The following is a 14,936-nucleotide window of genomic DNA, read 5'->3' on the forward strand; positions in this document are numbered from 1 at the left end:
AATCTAAGGCTATTATATAGTTTTAGATTAACATGACTTATTATGATTTTTTTAATACTCTGAGGTAAACTACTATCAATTTGCTCTTGGCTATATCCTCTGTACCCAAAACAGTGCCTGTATATTTTAAATAACGTAAATGAAAATGGATGTTAGAGAAGGGGAGGGAAGGCCAGTATTGTTTTCAATAAAGCCTAAATCACTTCAAAATTTAATGTAAACAAAATATGTATTTTCCCCCAAGCACTTATATACCAGGACCACTGTGTATGTCATGCCAAACACGCAAAGCACCATAAAGTGTTGCAATGTGGTTTAAAATTTTCAAGTATCTTAAAGAAAGAGTAGTCCAGCTATTTCATTTTCTATCTTGGATAGATTTATGTTTAAGAATGTGAATTTTAAAATACACACCACTTAGTTAAATTCTATCAGAAATATATTTTAAATCTTTAAAAGTCTCTTGTTTCTTAACACCCATGTACTTTTATTTTATAATGCATGATTGAGATTCTTTCATGTTGATTTCAACCTTAATTCCTAACAAAATAGAATTCAAAATTCACCAACGACTCTTATTATAGAAGACTTGTGTATGTATATATATCTCACATAGAGCTTTAATCAAAACTAGCTTTATAAATTTAGTATGTGCAAACACCCACCTAATATGATTCTATAAGAATGGTATGAAACTGTCTTATGTGCAAGGAAAAAAACATTTCCAAAAACAATCAACTCCTTAAGGAGAAAAAATGAAGGTAAAGAAATTAATATAAATAGTATTAATCAAAATTTTTATAATTACAAATGGTGCCAAATTTAGCAGGATAAATTACTCTTTTGCTTCTAACAACAAATGTTTAAAGGAATGTACAAGTAATGCTTTTAAATCACTTGGCCATAGATTTTGCTTTTGTATAGTTTGTGCTTTTTACTTTTACATTTGTACCATCTTTTTGTTGAAAATTATAGCTTCCACTTATACAATGTACCCATTATTTAAAATGATATTTTTCACATTTTCAAGATATTTTGTAAGTTCAGTAGGGTGATGATTTTCCAAACCCATTAATTATATAGTTTATTGATCTGCTTGGACTTTTTACAATAATTAAATAATTATAGATTTAAGTACATAATTTTAATAACATTTAAAATGTAAGCCTCTTTTCATTTTACATTAGTCATAAAAGCATTTGAATCTTTGTAAATAATAGTAAATTATTAACAAATATGGAGAAATCAATTCAGCAATCTGTGTGAACACAAGAGGTTTTCCTTTTACATTTTAAAAAATGCCGAAAATGAGATATCAAAATTAGGAAATGACATCTTCTTTTCATTAGGCATGTAATTATTTTACACTATGTGTTGACTTCCCTAGATCACAACAGCTTAAAAGAGGGTTAAGCCCCAAAACACAAAACAACCAAAAGATTGTAATGCCCGTACTAATACTTTCTAAACTGGCTTTGAAATAGTCACCACTTCATCACATTCCATTTTGTTTTATTGTCTTTTCATGAAAATAAAAGTCTTCCCCTAACTGGTAACATCCACATTATAAATATAACCTTCCTACTCCAGAGCTATAATTTCAGTTTTGACTGCCACTCCTGCTATTCAACTGTCATCTTCTTTATATGATGAAGAAGAGCATCTTTTTCCAAGTGAGCCTCTGCAAGAGCCATTTTAGCTTTAGCCAGTTCCTGTTTAAGAGATTCATTCTCTTCCATGAGCTGAAATGATAAATGGCGGGGGGATAAGATAATTTAATCATTTCAGGAAATACAGACTATTTATATAGTATCCAAAGGTATGACACTTGGGATAGTAAAAATGCCCATTGCTGGTGAGAGTGCACTTAAGCTGAAAACTGCTTTGAGACAACATTTGGAAACATGTATCAAGCACTTAAAAAATGTTCCCATGTTTTGACCCAGCAATACAAAATACTAACTCCTAATTTCCTAGTCTAATAGTGACTTCATTTCATATGAATTTTCCTGGACCTCTCTATGGCTTTAGACATTGCTGAGCTACACCTACTTTCTCAGCCTCTCTCCTTTTTCTGGCTTTTATGCCACAGCTGTTTCATATTTATCCATTTCAACCTATGTATGCCCTTTTCATCTTTTCTTCTACTTTTTAAGAACTCTTAAAATTTGACATTCTGTTAGTTCCATTGCTCGGTCGTCTTCTCTTGTATTGAGTCACTTTCTTGGATGATCTTATCTCTCATGGCTCCAACTATCATAGACTCACCTAGCACAAACCTCTCTCCTGAGCTCCAGACTCAAATTCTGAATGTGTCATCAGACATTTTCTTTTTTTTTGAGATGGAATTTCGCTCTTGTTGCCCAGGCTGGAATACAATGGCGCAATCTCAGCTCACTGCAGCCTCCACCTCCCGGGTTCAAGTGATTCTCTTGCCTCAGCCTCCTGAGTAGCTGGGATTACAAGCATGCGCCACCATGCCCAGCTAATTTTTATATTTTTAGTAGAGATGGGGTTTCTCCATGTTGGTCAAGCTGGTCTCGAACTCGCGACCTCAGGTGATCTGCCCGCCTTGGCCTCCCAAAGTGCTGGGATTACAGGCATGAGCCACAGCGCCCTACAGACATTTTCATCTAGATGGCCAATACGTCTCCTCCACCACCCTTTTAAGACTTAGTTCAAGTATTTTATCCTCTTAGAGCCATTCCCTCATAATTAGGAATGGCTATATTAGAGCAAATATATTAGAGCAAATATAGCCATTCCTAAGTACGGGGATATAAAACTAAGAACTTTCTGCGTCACATAGATACATTAAAATATATGCAGTTAATTTCAAATAGTTCTCAAACTTCTTCTAAATCTAGCTTAAGAATTCTTGCCTTATCGACCAAGTGAGGTAGTTTCCTATACTTCTCTTCATCTGTAGTATAGCATCTGACACAGTACGTTGTGACTACCAATTGAACACTCTTGTCCCACTAGACTTTGAGTTCTTCAATAGTCACGGATCATCTACTGCTGAATTCTATATCCCTAGCTCAGAGCTGACATTGAATAAATCCTCATTGAACAGATGCATTAACTCATTCTATGGTTCTATCATACAGATTAAAACTCTGCTGAACATTTTGTTTCTTTATAATGGCAAAAAAAAAAAATCAAAAGCAACTTGAATGTTAATAAATGTTTATAGAAGTTTCAGAAATGATAGCATACCCAAAACCATATTACTAAGCCATTAAAAAAAATTAAGCAAATACAGCAATATGAAAAAATTTTGTTAAACAATTAAGTAAAATTATATAGTATGTACACTTGAATATTAATTTTTTCAAATAAAAAATCTACAAGGAAAAATCACAAAAATACTGAGATAGCACTGGAGGAAGGCAGAAGGTATTAAATTTTTCTTTATTTTTTGCTCAACACTCTAACCATAGCACCTAGCAAAGCACCTGGGCACAATAACAAGCACTCGGTACATTTTATTAAAATAAGTAAACAATGTTTTAACTATTAGTATCTTAATACCTAGTTATTTAATTGCTGAAGCTGAATCTGAATTAGGTTTCCCATTACCTGTTCCCTAGTGAAGTCAAAGGAGAACTCAGGAAAGTTAGCTGACTGAGAAGGCCAAGGAACCCCTGGGCTTGTCTGAGTGGCTTGCGTGACACTGCGTTGTTTCTTCAGATCATACTTTCCACTGGTCAGCAGCACTGAATCGCTTTTGACATTTTCTTTCAAATCATTTCCAGTGTTAAGCATGTGAGAATCTGATCAAACAAATAACATGCTCAGATAACATTTCCAAATACTTGATAAATCTTTAAAAGTTCCATTGTGAAAATCTAATTTAAAACTAAATATCTATATATATTAGTTATGAGGATAGTAGTATGAGATAGAACAACCAGTAAAACCAAAAGCTTATTCTCTGAAAAGATCAACTAAATAAACTTTTCTTCCTAAGAATTCTTCCCAAGAATTTGTCAACTTCATCTAAGTTAATTACATAATTTATTATGTTTTTATATTAAAGGTTTATTCGATTTAATAGATTTAATTTAAAGGCTTATTATTAGATTAACTAATAAACTTTTAGTTAGACTGACCAAGAAAAAGAAATTACTAGAATCAGAAACGAAAGACGTGACATTACTACCAACCTTACAGAAATAAAACACTATAAAGGAATACTATAAACAACAGTATGTCAATAATTAGATAACTTAGGGCAGGCACAGTGGCTCATGTCTGTAATCCCAGCACTTTGGGAGGCCTAGCTGGGAGAACTGCTTGAGACCAGGAGTTGGAGACCAGCCTGAGCAATGTAGCAAGACCTGTCTCTATAAAAATAAAAAATACAAAAAACTATGTAACTTAAGCCTGGCACAGTGGCTCATACCTATAATCCCAGCACTTTGGGAGGCCAAGACGGGTGGATCACCTGAGGTCAGGAGTTTGAGACCAGCCTGGCCAACATGTGAAACCCCATCTCTACTAAAGATACAAAAATTAACCAGGCATGATGGTGCACACCTGTAGCCTGGCAGAAGGCAGCCTGGAGGCTGAGGCAGAAGAATCCCTTGAACCCAGGAGGCGGAGGTTGCAGTGAGCTGAGATCTCACCACTGCACTCCAGCCTGGGCGACAGAGCGAGACTCCGTCTCAAAAACAACAACAACAACAACAAAAAAAAACTATGTAACTTAGATGAAACAGACAAATTCTTAAAAAGACAATAACTACCTAAATAGCCTCAAGAAGACAATGTCAATAGACCTATAGCTGAGAGAGACTGAATCAGTAATCATAAAACTACCCACAAAGAAAAGCCCAGGCCCAGGTGGCTTCACTGGAGAATTTTATCAAACATTTAAAGAATAATATCAAATCTTTAAAAACTCTTCCAAAAAACAAAAGGAGCATTCCCAAACTTTCTATGAAGGCAGTATTACCCTGATATCAAATCTAGACAAAACAAACAAAAAAACCCCACAAGAACACTAAGACCAATATGCTGAAGAATATAGACATAATCATCAACAAAATGTTAGTAAACTGAACCCAGCAACATACAAACATAACTATAAAGCATGGTCAACTGGGATTTATCCCAGGAATGCAAATGTATCTATCATCCAAAAAGTAACTAATGTAATACATCAACAGAATAAAAGGCAAAAGCCACATGATCATCTCAATAGATGCAGAAAAAGCATCTGACAAAATCCAATACCTTTCCATGATAAAAACACTCACCAAGTTAGAAATAGAAGGGAACTTCCTCAGTCTAATAAAAGGTCATCATGTATAAACATCCCACATCTAATATGATACTTAGTGGTGAAAGACTAGACTCTTTTCCTGTTGGCCAGAATCAGAAACCAGACAAGGCTGTCTGCTATTGTTACTTTTTTTTTTTTTTTTTTTTTTTTTTGAGACGGAGTCTCACTCTGTCGCCAGGCTGGAGTGCGGTGGCACAATCTCGGCTCATTGCAACCACCGCCTCCTGGGTTCAAGTGATTCTCCTGCCTCAGCCTCCCGAGTAGCTGGGACTACAGGTGGACACTACCACACCCAGCTAATTTTTGCATTTTTAGTAGAGATGGGGTTTCACCATGTTGGCCAGGATGGTCTCAATCTCTTGACCTGGTGATCCACCCGCCTCGGCTTCCCAAAGTTCTGGGATTACAGGCGTGAGCCACCGCGCCCGGCCTGCTATTGTCACTTCTATTCAACATTGTTTTAGAGGTTCTAACCTGGGCAACTGGGCAAGAAAAACAATAGAAGACATTCAGATTGGAAAGGAAGAAGTAAAATTCTCTCTACTAAACATGATCTTGCGTATAGAAAAAAACTAAGGAAACAACTAAAAACCTACTGGAAATAATCAAGTTCAGTGAGGTTGCAGGATAAAAATCAATATACAAAAATAAACTACATTTCTATAATGTGTAATAAAGAATCCACAAATGAAAGAAAACAATTCGATTTAAAATACTGTCAAAAAGAATACAAATAAACTTAACAAAAGAAGCACAAAACTTACTATACTCTGAAAACTATAAAACATCGTTGAAAGAAATAAATAGATCTAAATAGATGGAAAAAATTCCCACTGTTCATGGATTGGAAGATTTAATGGAAATACTCCCCAAATTTATCTACAGCTTTAACACAATCCCTATCAGAAGTTGAGCTGGCGTCTTTGTAGAAATTATAAGTTGAGCTGGCTTCTTTGTAGAAATTATCAAGCTGATTTTAAAATTCATATGGAATTGCAAGGGACCCAAAAGAGTCAAAAAAAAATCTTGAAAAGGTACAATAAAGTTGGACGACTCACATGTTCCAATTTTAAAACTTACTCTAAAGGAAGTTGGTAATCAAGACAGTGTGGTAGTATCAAAGACAGACATACAGACAAGTAGAATAGAATTGAGAATCCAGAAATAAACCCATGTGTCTTTAATCCTTACCCATACTCAAATTGAACATTTGAGTTAAAGAGCTAAATTTAACGGCTAATTCTATAAAATTCTTAAAAGAAAACATGAGAAAATCATCATGACCTCAGATTTGGCCATGGACTCTTATACAGGACATCCAAAGCACAGGCAAGAAAACAGAAAAGTTGAACACTGTTGTCTTAAGAAATTGCCATAGCCACCCCAACCTTCAACAACCATGGCTGTCATCAGTCAGCAGCCATCAACCTTGAGGCGTGAGCAAAAAGATTATGACTCACTGAAGGTTTAGATAATCATTAGCATTTTTTAGCAATCAAGTTTGTTTGTTTTTTGAGATGGATTCTTGCTCTGTTGTTCAGGCTGGAGTGCAGTGGCACGATCTTGGCTCACTGCAACCTCCGCCTCCTGGATTCAAGCAATTCTCCTGCCTCAGCCTCCAGGGTAGCTCGGATTACAGATGTGCGCCAAGACACCCAGCTAATTTTTGTATTTTTAACAGACAAGGGTTTCACCATGTTGGCCAGGCTGGTCTTGAACTCTCGACCTTAGGTGATCCATCTGCCTCAGCCTCCCAAAGTGCTGAGATTACAGGCGTGAGCCACCACGCCCAGCCAGCAATCAAGTATTTTTAAATTAAGCTATGTACATTTTTTAGACATAATAATAGTGTAAACATGACTTTCATATGCACTGGTAAACTGAAAAATTTTTATGACTTGCTTTACTGTGATACTCACTTTATTGTGGTGGTCTGGAACCCAATCAGCAATATATTTAAAGTATGCCTGCATAAGGAAGAAGTTCAGCTTCCTTCATGTGGCTATCTAGTCATTCCATCACCACTTGTGAAAACGCTATTCTTTCCCTCATTGACTTGTTTTGCCAGCCTTGCCAAAGATCAATGAATGTAAGAGTTTATCTCTGAACTCTCAATTCAATTCATTCCAATTATCTTTTGCCAAGCTCCTTTTCTACTCAATCAGCTAGAGAGCATTTCTAGCTTATAATTATAAAAGCTGATTAGTACTGTTATTTTCAAATGTTTCAGAATTGTTGAATGTCTTGTATTTTCCTATTTTCTTGTTCATGTTTATCCCATTTTCTTGCCTATAAATGCTGTTTCTATTTGCCATAGCTGACCTCTAGTGACTGTGGGAAAGGAAAGCTTGCTCTTCTGGGTGAGATACACCAAGTTTGTTAACTAGATAGGGAATCATTCCCTTCCTGGGGGCTTAGCAGCTGCATAATCTACCCTCAATATTTTAGTCTATATGCAAACCCTACTGAAGTCTACTACTGGGCACAGGCACAGGGGAGGATCCCAAAAAGGAATGCCCATATTATTCATGCTGTTGCCTCAGGGGCTAATTCTAACCTCAGTATCTTGTTGGGGAGATTCCTCCTATTTTTGAGGAGGAACTTCAGTCATGCAGTCCTCTTGGATTCTTTTGGTCCTGTTTCTCACTGCTTCCCAGGGAAGAAGGTATGATTTATCTGATTGACTTTTTTTTAAAGAACTATATATATGTGGTTCAGTCTCTTGCTTTGGTATATGCTGTAACTCCTGCCAAGAGGGTGCATTCTTTTCTGTTTGTTTGTTTTGTTTTGTTTTGTTTTTTTTAATAAGACAGACCTGAATTTTTGGGAGCTAACACATTTGGGAAAGAGGGCTGGGCAGAGTCTTCTCACAGACCTAAGCTATCCTCTTCACCTGAGCTATTATCAGTAATGAAGCTACCATTTTGATCTTTGTTGGCCTTTCTCCTATGTCTGTCTCCAGTTGTTCCCAAACTACAGAGGAAAAGACTCTTTAGAAGGCTCCCACTAACTGTTCCTATATCTGAAATTGTCCTGTCCTTTCTTCTGTAGCACTGTTAATGACTTTATTCTTCAGTTGACACATTTTCTGTCATTTCATGAGGTTTTTGATAGGAGATGAAACAGATGCACATGTCATTCCCTCAACTGGCTACTAAAATAGTGAAGCCCAGAAGATATAAATCTACTGACTCATGCTCTTTCCACTACTCACTACCTTAAAAGACACAGACCTTACATTAGCGACCTTAAAACTTTTGTTAGAGTGGAGATGCAAACATTAAAGGTGAACTAAGTACACAGGCAATACACCGAAAGTAACTAACGTACAGAAAAGTGCCAAAAGAAGTGGAAGAACTCACATCAGATTATAAAAAAGTGTCACTATACAAGGATGCCCTCTCTCATCATTCCTATTCAACACAGCATTGGAAGTTCTGGCCAGGGCAATCAGGCAAGACAAAGAAATAAAGGGTATTCAATTAGGAAAACAGGAAGCCAAATTGTCTCTGTTTGCAGATGATATGATTATATGTTTAGAAAACCCCACCATCTCAGCCCAAAATCTCCTTAAGCTGATAAGCAACTTCAGCAAAGCCTCAGGATACAAAATAAATGTGCAAAAATCACAAGCATTCCTATACACCATTAACAGACAAACAGAGAGCCAAATCATGAGTGAACTCTCATTCACAATTACTACAAAGAGAATAAAATACCTAGGAATCCAACTTACAAGGGAAGTGAGGGACCTCTTCAAGGAGAACTACAAACCACTGCTCAATTAAATAAAAGAGGACACAAACAAATGGAAGAATATTCCATGCTCATGGGTAGGAAGAATCAATATCGTGAAAATGGCCATACTGCCCAAGTTAATTTATAGATTCAATGCTATCCCCATCAAGCTACCACTGACTTTCTTCACAGAACTGGAAAAAACTACTTGAAATTTCATATGGAACCAAAAAAGAGCCCACATAGCCAAGACAATCCTAAGCCAAAAGAACAAAGCTGGAGGCATCACGCTATCTGACTTCAAACTATACTACAATGCTACAGTAACCAAAACAGATACATAGATCAGTGGAACATAACAGAGGCCTGACAAATAACACCACACATCTACAACCATCTGATCTTTGACAAACCTGACAAAAACAAGCAATAGGGAAAGGATTCCCTATTTAATAAATGGTGCTGGGAAAACTGGCTAGCCATATGTAGAAAGCTGAAACTGGATCCCTTCCTTACCCCTTACACAAAAATTAACTGAAGATGGATTAAAGACTTAAATGTAAAACCTAAAATCATAAAAACCCGATTAGAAAACCTAGGCAATACCATTCAGAACATAGGCATGGGCAAAGACTTCATGACTAAAACACCAAAAGCAATAGCAACAAAAGCCAAAATTGACAAATGGGATCTAATTAAACTAAAGAGCTTCTGCACAGCAAAATAAACTATCATCAGAGTGAACAGGCAACCTACAGAATGGGAGAAAATTTTTGCAGTCTACTCATCTGACAAAGGGTTAATATCGAGAATCTACAAAGAACTTAAACAAATTTACAAGAAAAAATCAAACAACCCCATTAAAAAGTGGGCAAAGGATATGAACAGACACTTCTCAAAAGACATTTATGCAGCCAACAGACATATGAAAAAATGCACATCATCACTGGTCATCACAGAAATGCAAATCAAAACCACAATGAGATACCATCTCACGTCAGTTAGAATGGTGATCATTAAAAAGTCAGGGAACAACAGATGCTGGAGAGGATGTGGAGAAATAGGAAAACTTTTACACTGTTGGTGGGAGTGTAAATTAGCTCAACCGCTGTGGAAGACAGTGTGGCGATTCCTCAAGGATCTAGAACTAGAATTACCATTTGACCCAGCAATCCCATTACTGGCTATATACCCAAAGGATTATAAATCATGCTACTATAAAGATATATGCACACATACGTTTATTGCAGCACTATTCACAATAGCAAAGACTTGGAACCAACCCAAATGTCCATTAATAATAGACTGGATAAAGAAAATGTGGCACATATACACCATGGAATACTATGCAGCCATAAAAAAGGGTGACTTCATGTCCTTTGCAGGGACATGGATGAAGCTGGAAACAATCATTCTGAGCAAACTACCGCAAGGACAGAAAACTGTATACCGCATGTTCTCACTCATAAGTGGGAGTTGAACAATGAGAACACATGGCCACAGTGAGGGGAACATCATATACCAGGGCCTGTTGGGAGGTGGGGGCTGGGGGGAGGGATAGGGTTAGGAGAAATACCTAATGTAAATGATGAGTTGATGGGTGCAGCAAACCAACATGGCACATGTATACCTATGTAAAAAACCTGGACGTTGGGTACATGTACCCTAGAACTTAAAGTATAATAATAATAATAAAAAGGAAGTGTCACTATAAAGAAGACAGTTGAGAGAACAATGGAAGGATGAATAAAATCCACATAATGATGAGCAATTCCAATGAGAAATAACAAGGCAAATAAGAACGTAGAGACGTGCAAAGTGCAGAGAAGTGCAAGGTAAGTACCATTATAAGGAGTATAAGTAGGAAATAAAGCTAAGAAAGAGATCAACTGAGAGACACAAGCAAGATCAAAGGCCTCTCTCACTTTCTACAACATTCAAAACACATTTGTACAACAGGTACTAAACCAACTATATATGAGGTTTTTTCCAGGGTAGAGGCCAGTACATATATAGATGATACTTTATTACAATGTACTGAAGGTGTCCCTCAATCTTCCACTACTACATATGTATATACATATAAGAAATATAATAAGTGAAAAGAAACAATCAGTAGGTAAACAATTTAACTTCGAAATTTGAGTAGGTGTTCATTTAAATGGGTTTTCATCGGCTGGGCGAGGTGGCTCGCACCTGTAATCCCAGCACTTTAGGAGGCTGAGGTGGGTAGATAACCTGAAGTCAGGAGTTTGAGACCAGCCTGGCCAACATGGTGAAACCCCATCTCTACTAAAAATACAAAAATTAACTGGGCGTGTTGACAGGCACCTGTAATCCCAGCTACTCGGGAGGTTTAGGTAGGAGAATCACTCGAACCAGGGAGGCAGAGGTTTGCAGTAGGCTGAGATCGTGCCATTGCACTCAAGCCTGGGCAACAAGAGCAAAATTCCATCTCATAAATAAACAAATAGTTTTTCATATATACCTCTGATATGAAAAGAGCCATCGTCACTTCTCTCTACCACAAGATGATCAATATGTACAGTTACAGGAGCTGGTTCAAGGGATACTGTACTACTCCGGGGACTATCATCCTACAGGAAAGAAAAATAACATTGACATGTTACTTCATTCGGTCATATTTTTAATGAGTTAAAGATAACACATGTATCTTTATATGTTTCAGCTGATATAGCGAGAAAACTGCCTGTTATATTTTGCCTGTTATATATTTCCTAATTTCCAAAAAAGATCTCTACATCATTTACCAAAAAAGACAAAATCATTTTAATAAATGCTGATAGAATATATTTTATAGAGAAGGCACATTCTTAGACATGAATGAAAGTCCAGATAAGGAAAAGGAACATGAAAATATAAAATTATTTATTAACATACTTTTAAATTTATTTTCGTGTTAGAAACTTGTATCTTCATTGGCATTACTGTTGCAACAGTTTCATCTTCCAAAAAATGTTGAATATTCATAAGAGAAGATGTAAGAAACTCAGTGCTGAAGTTTTCTATGTGGCACTGCAGAAATCCATTTTTTTCTGCAAGTAAAGAGTGTATTACAGCACCAGGCCCACTTTCAAATCTCAGAGAAATCTCAGGAGAGGATTTGGAATGAATTACAGCTTTCTGATCGGAACCTAAGGAAAATGAACATACAAAAATGTTTGTAGCATTATTCAATAATATTACAATTATGTGCCATGTAGTACATTAAAATAATACTAGTTTTACTATTTCCCCCTAGTTTAAATGATACTCTATAGTACATATACAATATACGTACACACACTAATTTCAATATTTTATGGCAACTTTCTACTACAATAATGTTGATTTTTCTGTATTTTCTGTTTTTTTGATAACAAGAAAAACACATTATGATAGAACTAAGGTGTGATACATGCCTCAGATACTTAGTGTGTGTTTGATTGTGTACCTAACTATACATTCAAATGTTGGCTGTGAAGCAGAAATAAGTCAGACATTTAAAGTGACTCTTAAGCCATTTCTCAAGAAGTAACAAAAGCCTGAGGTTTTGCACCTTCCTCATTAAATTGGGTCCTTAAATAACCTCATTAAATTGGGTCCTCAAATAATGGAAAAGTAAACAGAAAAGACCTCATTAAATTGTTTCTTTAGAAGGCAAACCAAAAACTGAAATTATAGTAAGGGGGGGGAGAGAGAGAGAGAGAGAGAGAGAGAGTGAGAGTGAGTGTGTGTGTGTGTGTGTGTGTGTGTGTGTGTGTGTGTGTAAAATTACATTTACTTATGCCTGGACCCTGTCCCCCCAAAAAATTTATAGATGGCCTAGAGAGGTATAAACACATAGTTTAAAAACAAATTTTAAAATTCCAATAATAGAATATCTAACTTAAAAAACAAAAGTTCCTAGTGAAACCCCTGAAGTAAATTACTTGTAAACTCACACTCAGGGTAACCATTTTGCTTATTTGTTTTATGCTAATTGGTTCCAAAATGGGTAAGAGGCAATATGCACATGGTATAATCTGATAAAAAATGAGGAGACATGGAAAAAAGTAAGGATGGAAGGGAAAAGGGGAAAAGTAGTTGGTAAGATTAATAACCCAAAATGCATTATTTAAATTCCTATACCAAAAGGTGGACCAAAAATGAGCTCCCTAGCAAAAAAGATAAAAATATGATCAGTTTTGCAACTCATATAACCTTTAAGATAAAAACAAACTCGTCCTGGAAAGGCGAAGCTGTTTCAGTTTCTGAGGTATGAAAGTTATTTATCCCACAGGTCCTCATAAGAAGACTGCTATATCAATTCATGATGGAGTTTTAAAAATTCATAATGAGAAGGTATTTTATTTTTCTTCAGCATGGGTGTGACTAGTCTTAAACAGGTCAAATATATGCATGTGTGTGAAAGGGAGAGATTTGCAAGAAATTAAAGATGTGTGTATTTATTTACACCAAGGATAGGTCTCCATTCACAATTCCAGGTGGAGAATTGCTCTTGAATCTTGTATTCCAGGTACAGAATTATATTTAATTAGTGTTATTACTACTTATTAACATTCCAGAAAATAATGCAAGAGTTCAAATCTAACTCCAAAGAATTATTTAAATATTTCAAAATTCAAATATTTTTATTTTTTAAAATAGAAGGTAAAAGAAACAGCCACAAATTGGTAATGGTTAGTGTTCTTTCCCATAGCAAGAAAAACAAGAGTGAACTTGCTGAACAAGAGAACTTGCCAACAAACAACTTGATTAATGTGATTTTATTTTGCCTTTTTATCTGTCTAGGTCTACACACACACACATTCTCATCCCATGGAGTAAAGCCAGGAATAATTTCAAACAAAATGAGTTTTTTGGAGACGAAATAAAACAAAACAAAAATTTTCTTCATCAAAATCACTCCTCTCTACTACCCCTTATACCATGGAACCATTAAGCTATGTCTTCCTATTGAAGCTCCACACACTATAGAAAAAACCACTAACTACTAATAATAAGTAAATGTAATTTTCCTTGAATTCAATTATAGCCAAGATAGGATTGCTGGTGAGACATATATAAAAGTTAAAACATATTAAACCATTGTATATGAAAAATAATTAAAAAAAAAAACTTACCAACTGGACGATTACAAAGGTAATGCCGAAGGCTGATATTGCCTAATTGGTCTGGTGTCACCTGGTTCACTTGAAGACAGATTTCTGTATCTTCCCCTCGGATGTCAATTTCCCCATTAACACCAGTAATTTTAAATACCACAACGGACATCTATTAATGATTGCATAAATAATATTAGTATGCCAAGCAGTTCAAAACAAAATTTAAGAAATAATATAGGAAACTACCATTACCCTCTAAAAATACAATTGTGACCTACCAGACCAAAAGTATACTTGTGACCTACAGAACACGGTTGTTACATTATAGTGAAAACCTTTCATTTACTTAAAAAAAAAATTAGGTCACAAGGATTGTAAAATGTTTTTCATTAAAAGCTAGACATAATATATTTTTCAAGTCTCCCAGAAGTATTTCACTGCATCAGGAGGGCTTAAAAGAAACCATTAGCTTGGGCAACACAGTGAGACCCCATATCTACAAAAAAATTTAAAACAGCCAGGTGTGGTGGTGTGCACCTATAGTCCCAGCTACTAGGGAGGCTGGGACAGGAAGATCACTTAAGCCCAGGAGTTCAAGGCTGCAGTGGGCTATGGATACATCTCTGCACTCCAGCCTGGGCAACAGAGTGAGACCCTGTCTCTAAAAAAATAAAAATAAAAATACAAAAAGCAATACAGAAAAAAGAAAGAGCCTCCACTCCTCAATATGAATAAAACAAATTTAGAAAAGTAAAATCAAAGGAAAAACGATTGGGGGGAGGCATTTTCAAGAACAAAAG

General features: G+C 35.9%; 1 protein-coding gene across 5 annotated transcripts in view; it reads right to left on the bottom strand.

Moving 5' to 3' along the window:
- Positions 1–1,058: 1,058 nt before the first annotated feature.
- BLTP3B (bridge-like lipid transfer protein family member 3B) overlaps positions 1,059–14,936 on the bottom strand; it is a 105,803-nt gene continuing 91,925 nt past the window's right edge. For all 5 annotated transcript variants that reach the window (XM_005268739.5, NM_015054.2, XM_047428554.1 and 2 more), the window contains 5 exons: positions 14,155–14,305; positions 11,930–12,183; positions 11,517–11,625; positions 3,583–3,776; positions 1,059–1,742 (listed from right to left, as the gene is read on the bottom strand). In XM_005268739.5, coding sequence (XP_005268796.1) covers positions 1,623–1,742; positions 3,583–3,776; positions 11,517–11,625; positions 11,930–12,183; positions 14,155–14,305 — 828 coding nt within the window. In that variant the 3' untranslated portion in view covers positions 1,059–1,622. The remainder of the gene's footprint in view (positions 1,743–3,582; positions 3,777–11,516; positions 11,626–11,929; positions 12,184–14,154; positions 14,306–14,936) is intronic.

Source organism: Homo sapiens, chromosome 12, assembly GCF_000001405.40.
Source record: "Homo sapiens chromosome 12, GRCh38.p14 Primary Assembly".
NCBI lineage: Eukaryota > Metazoa > Chordata > Mammalia > Primates > Hominidae > Homo > Homo sapiens.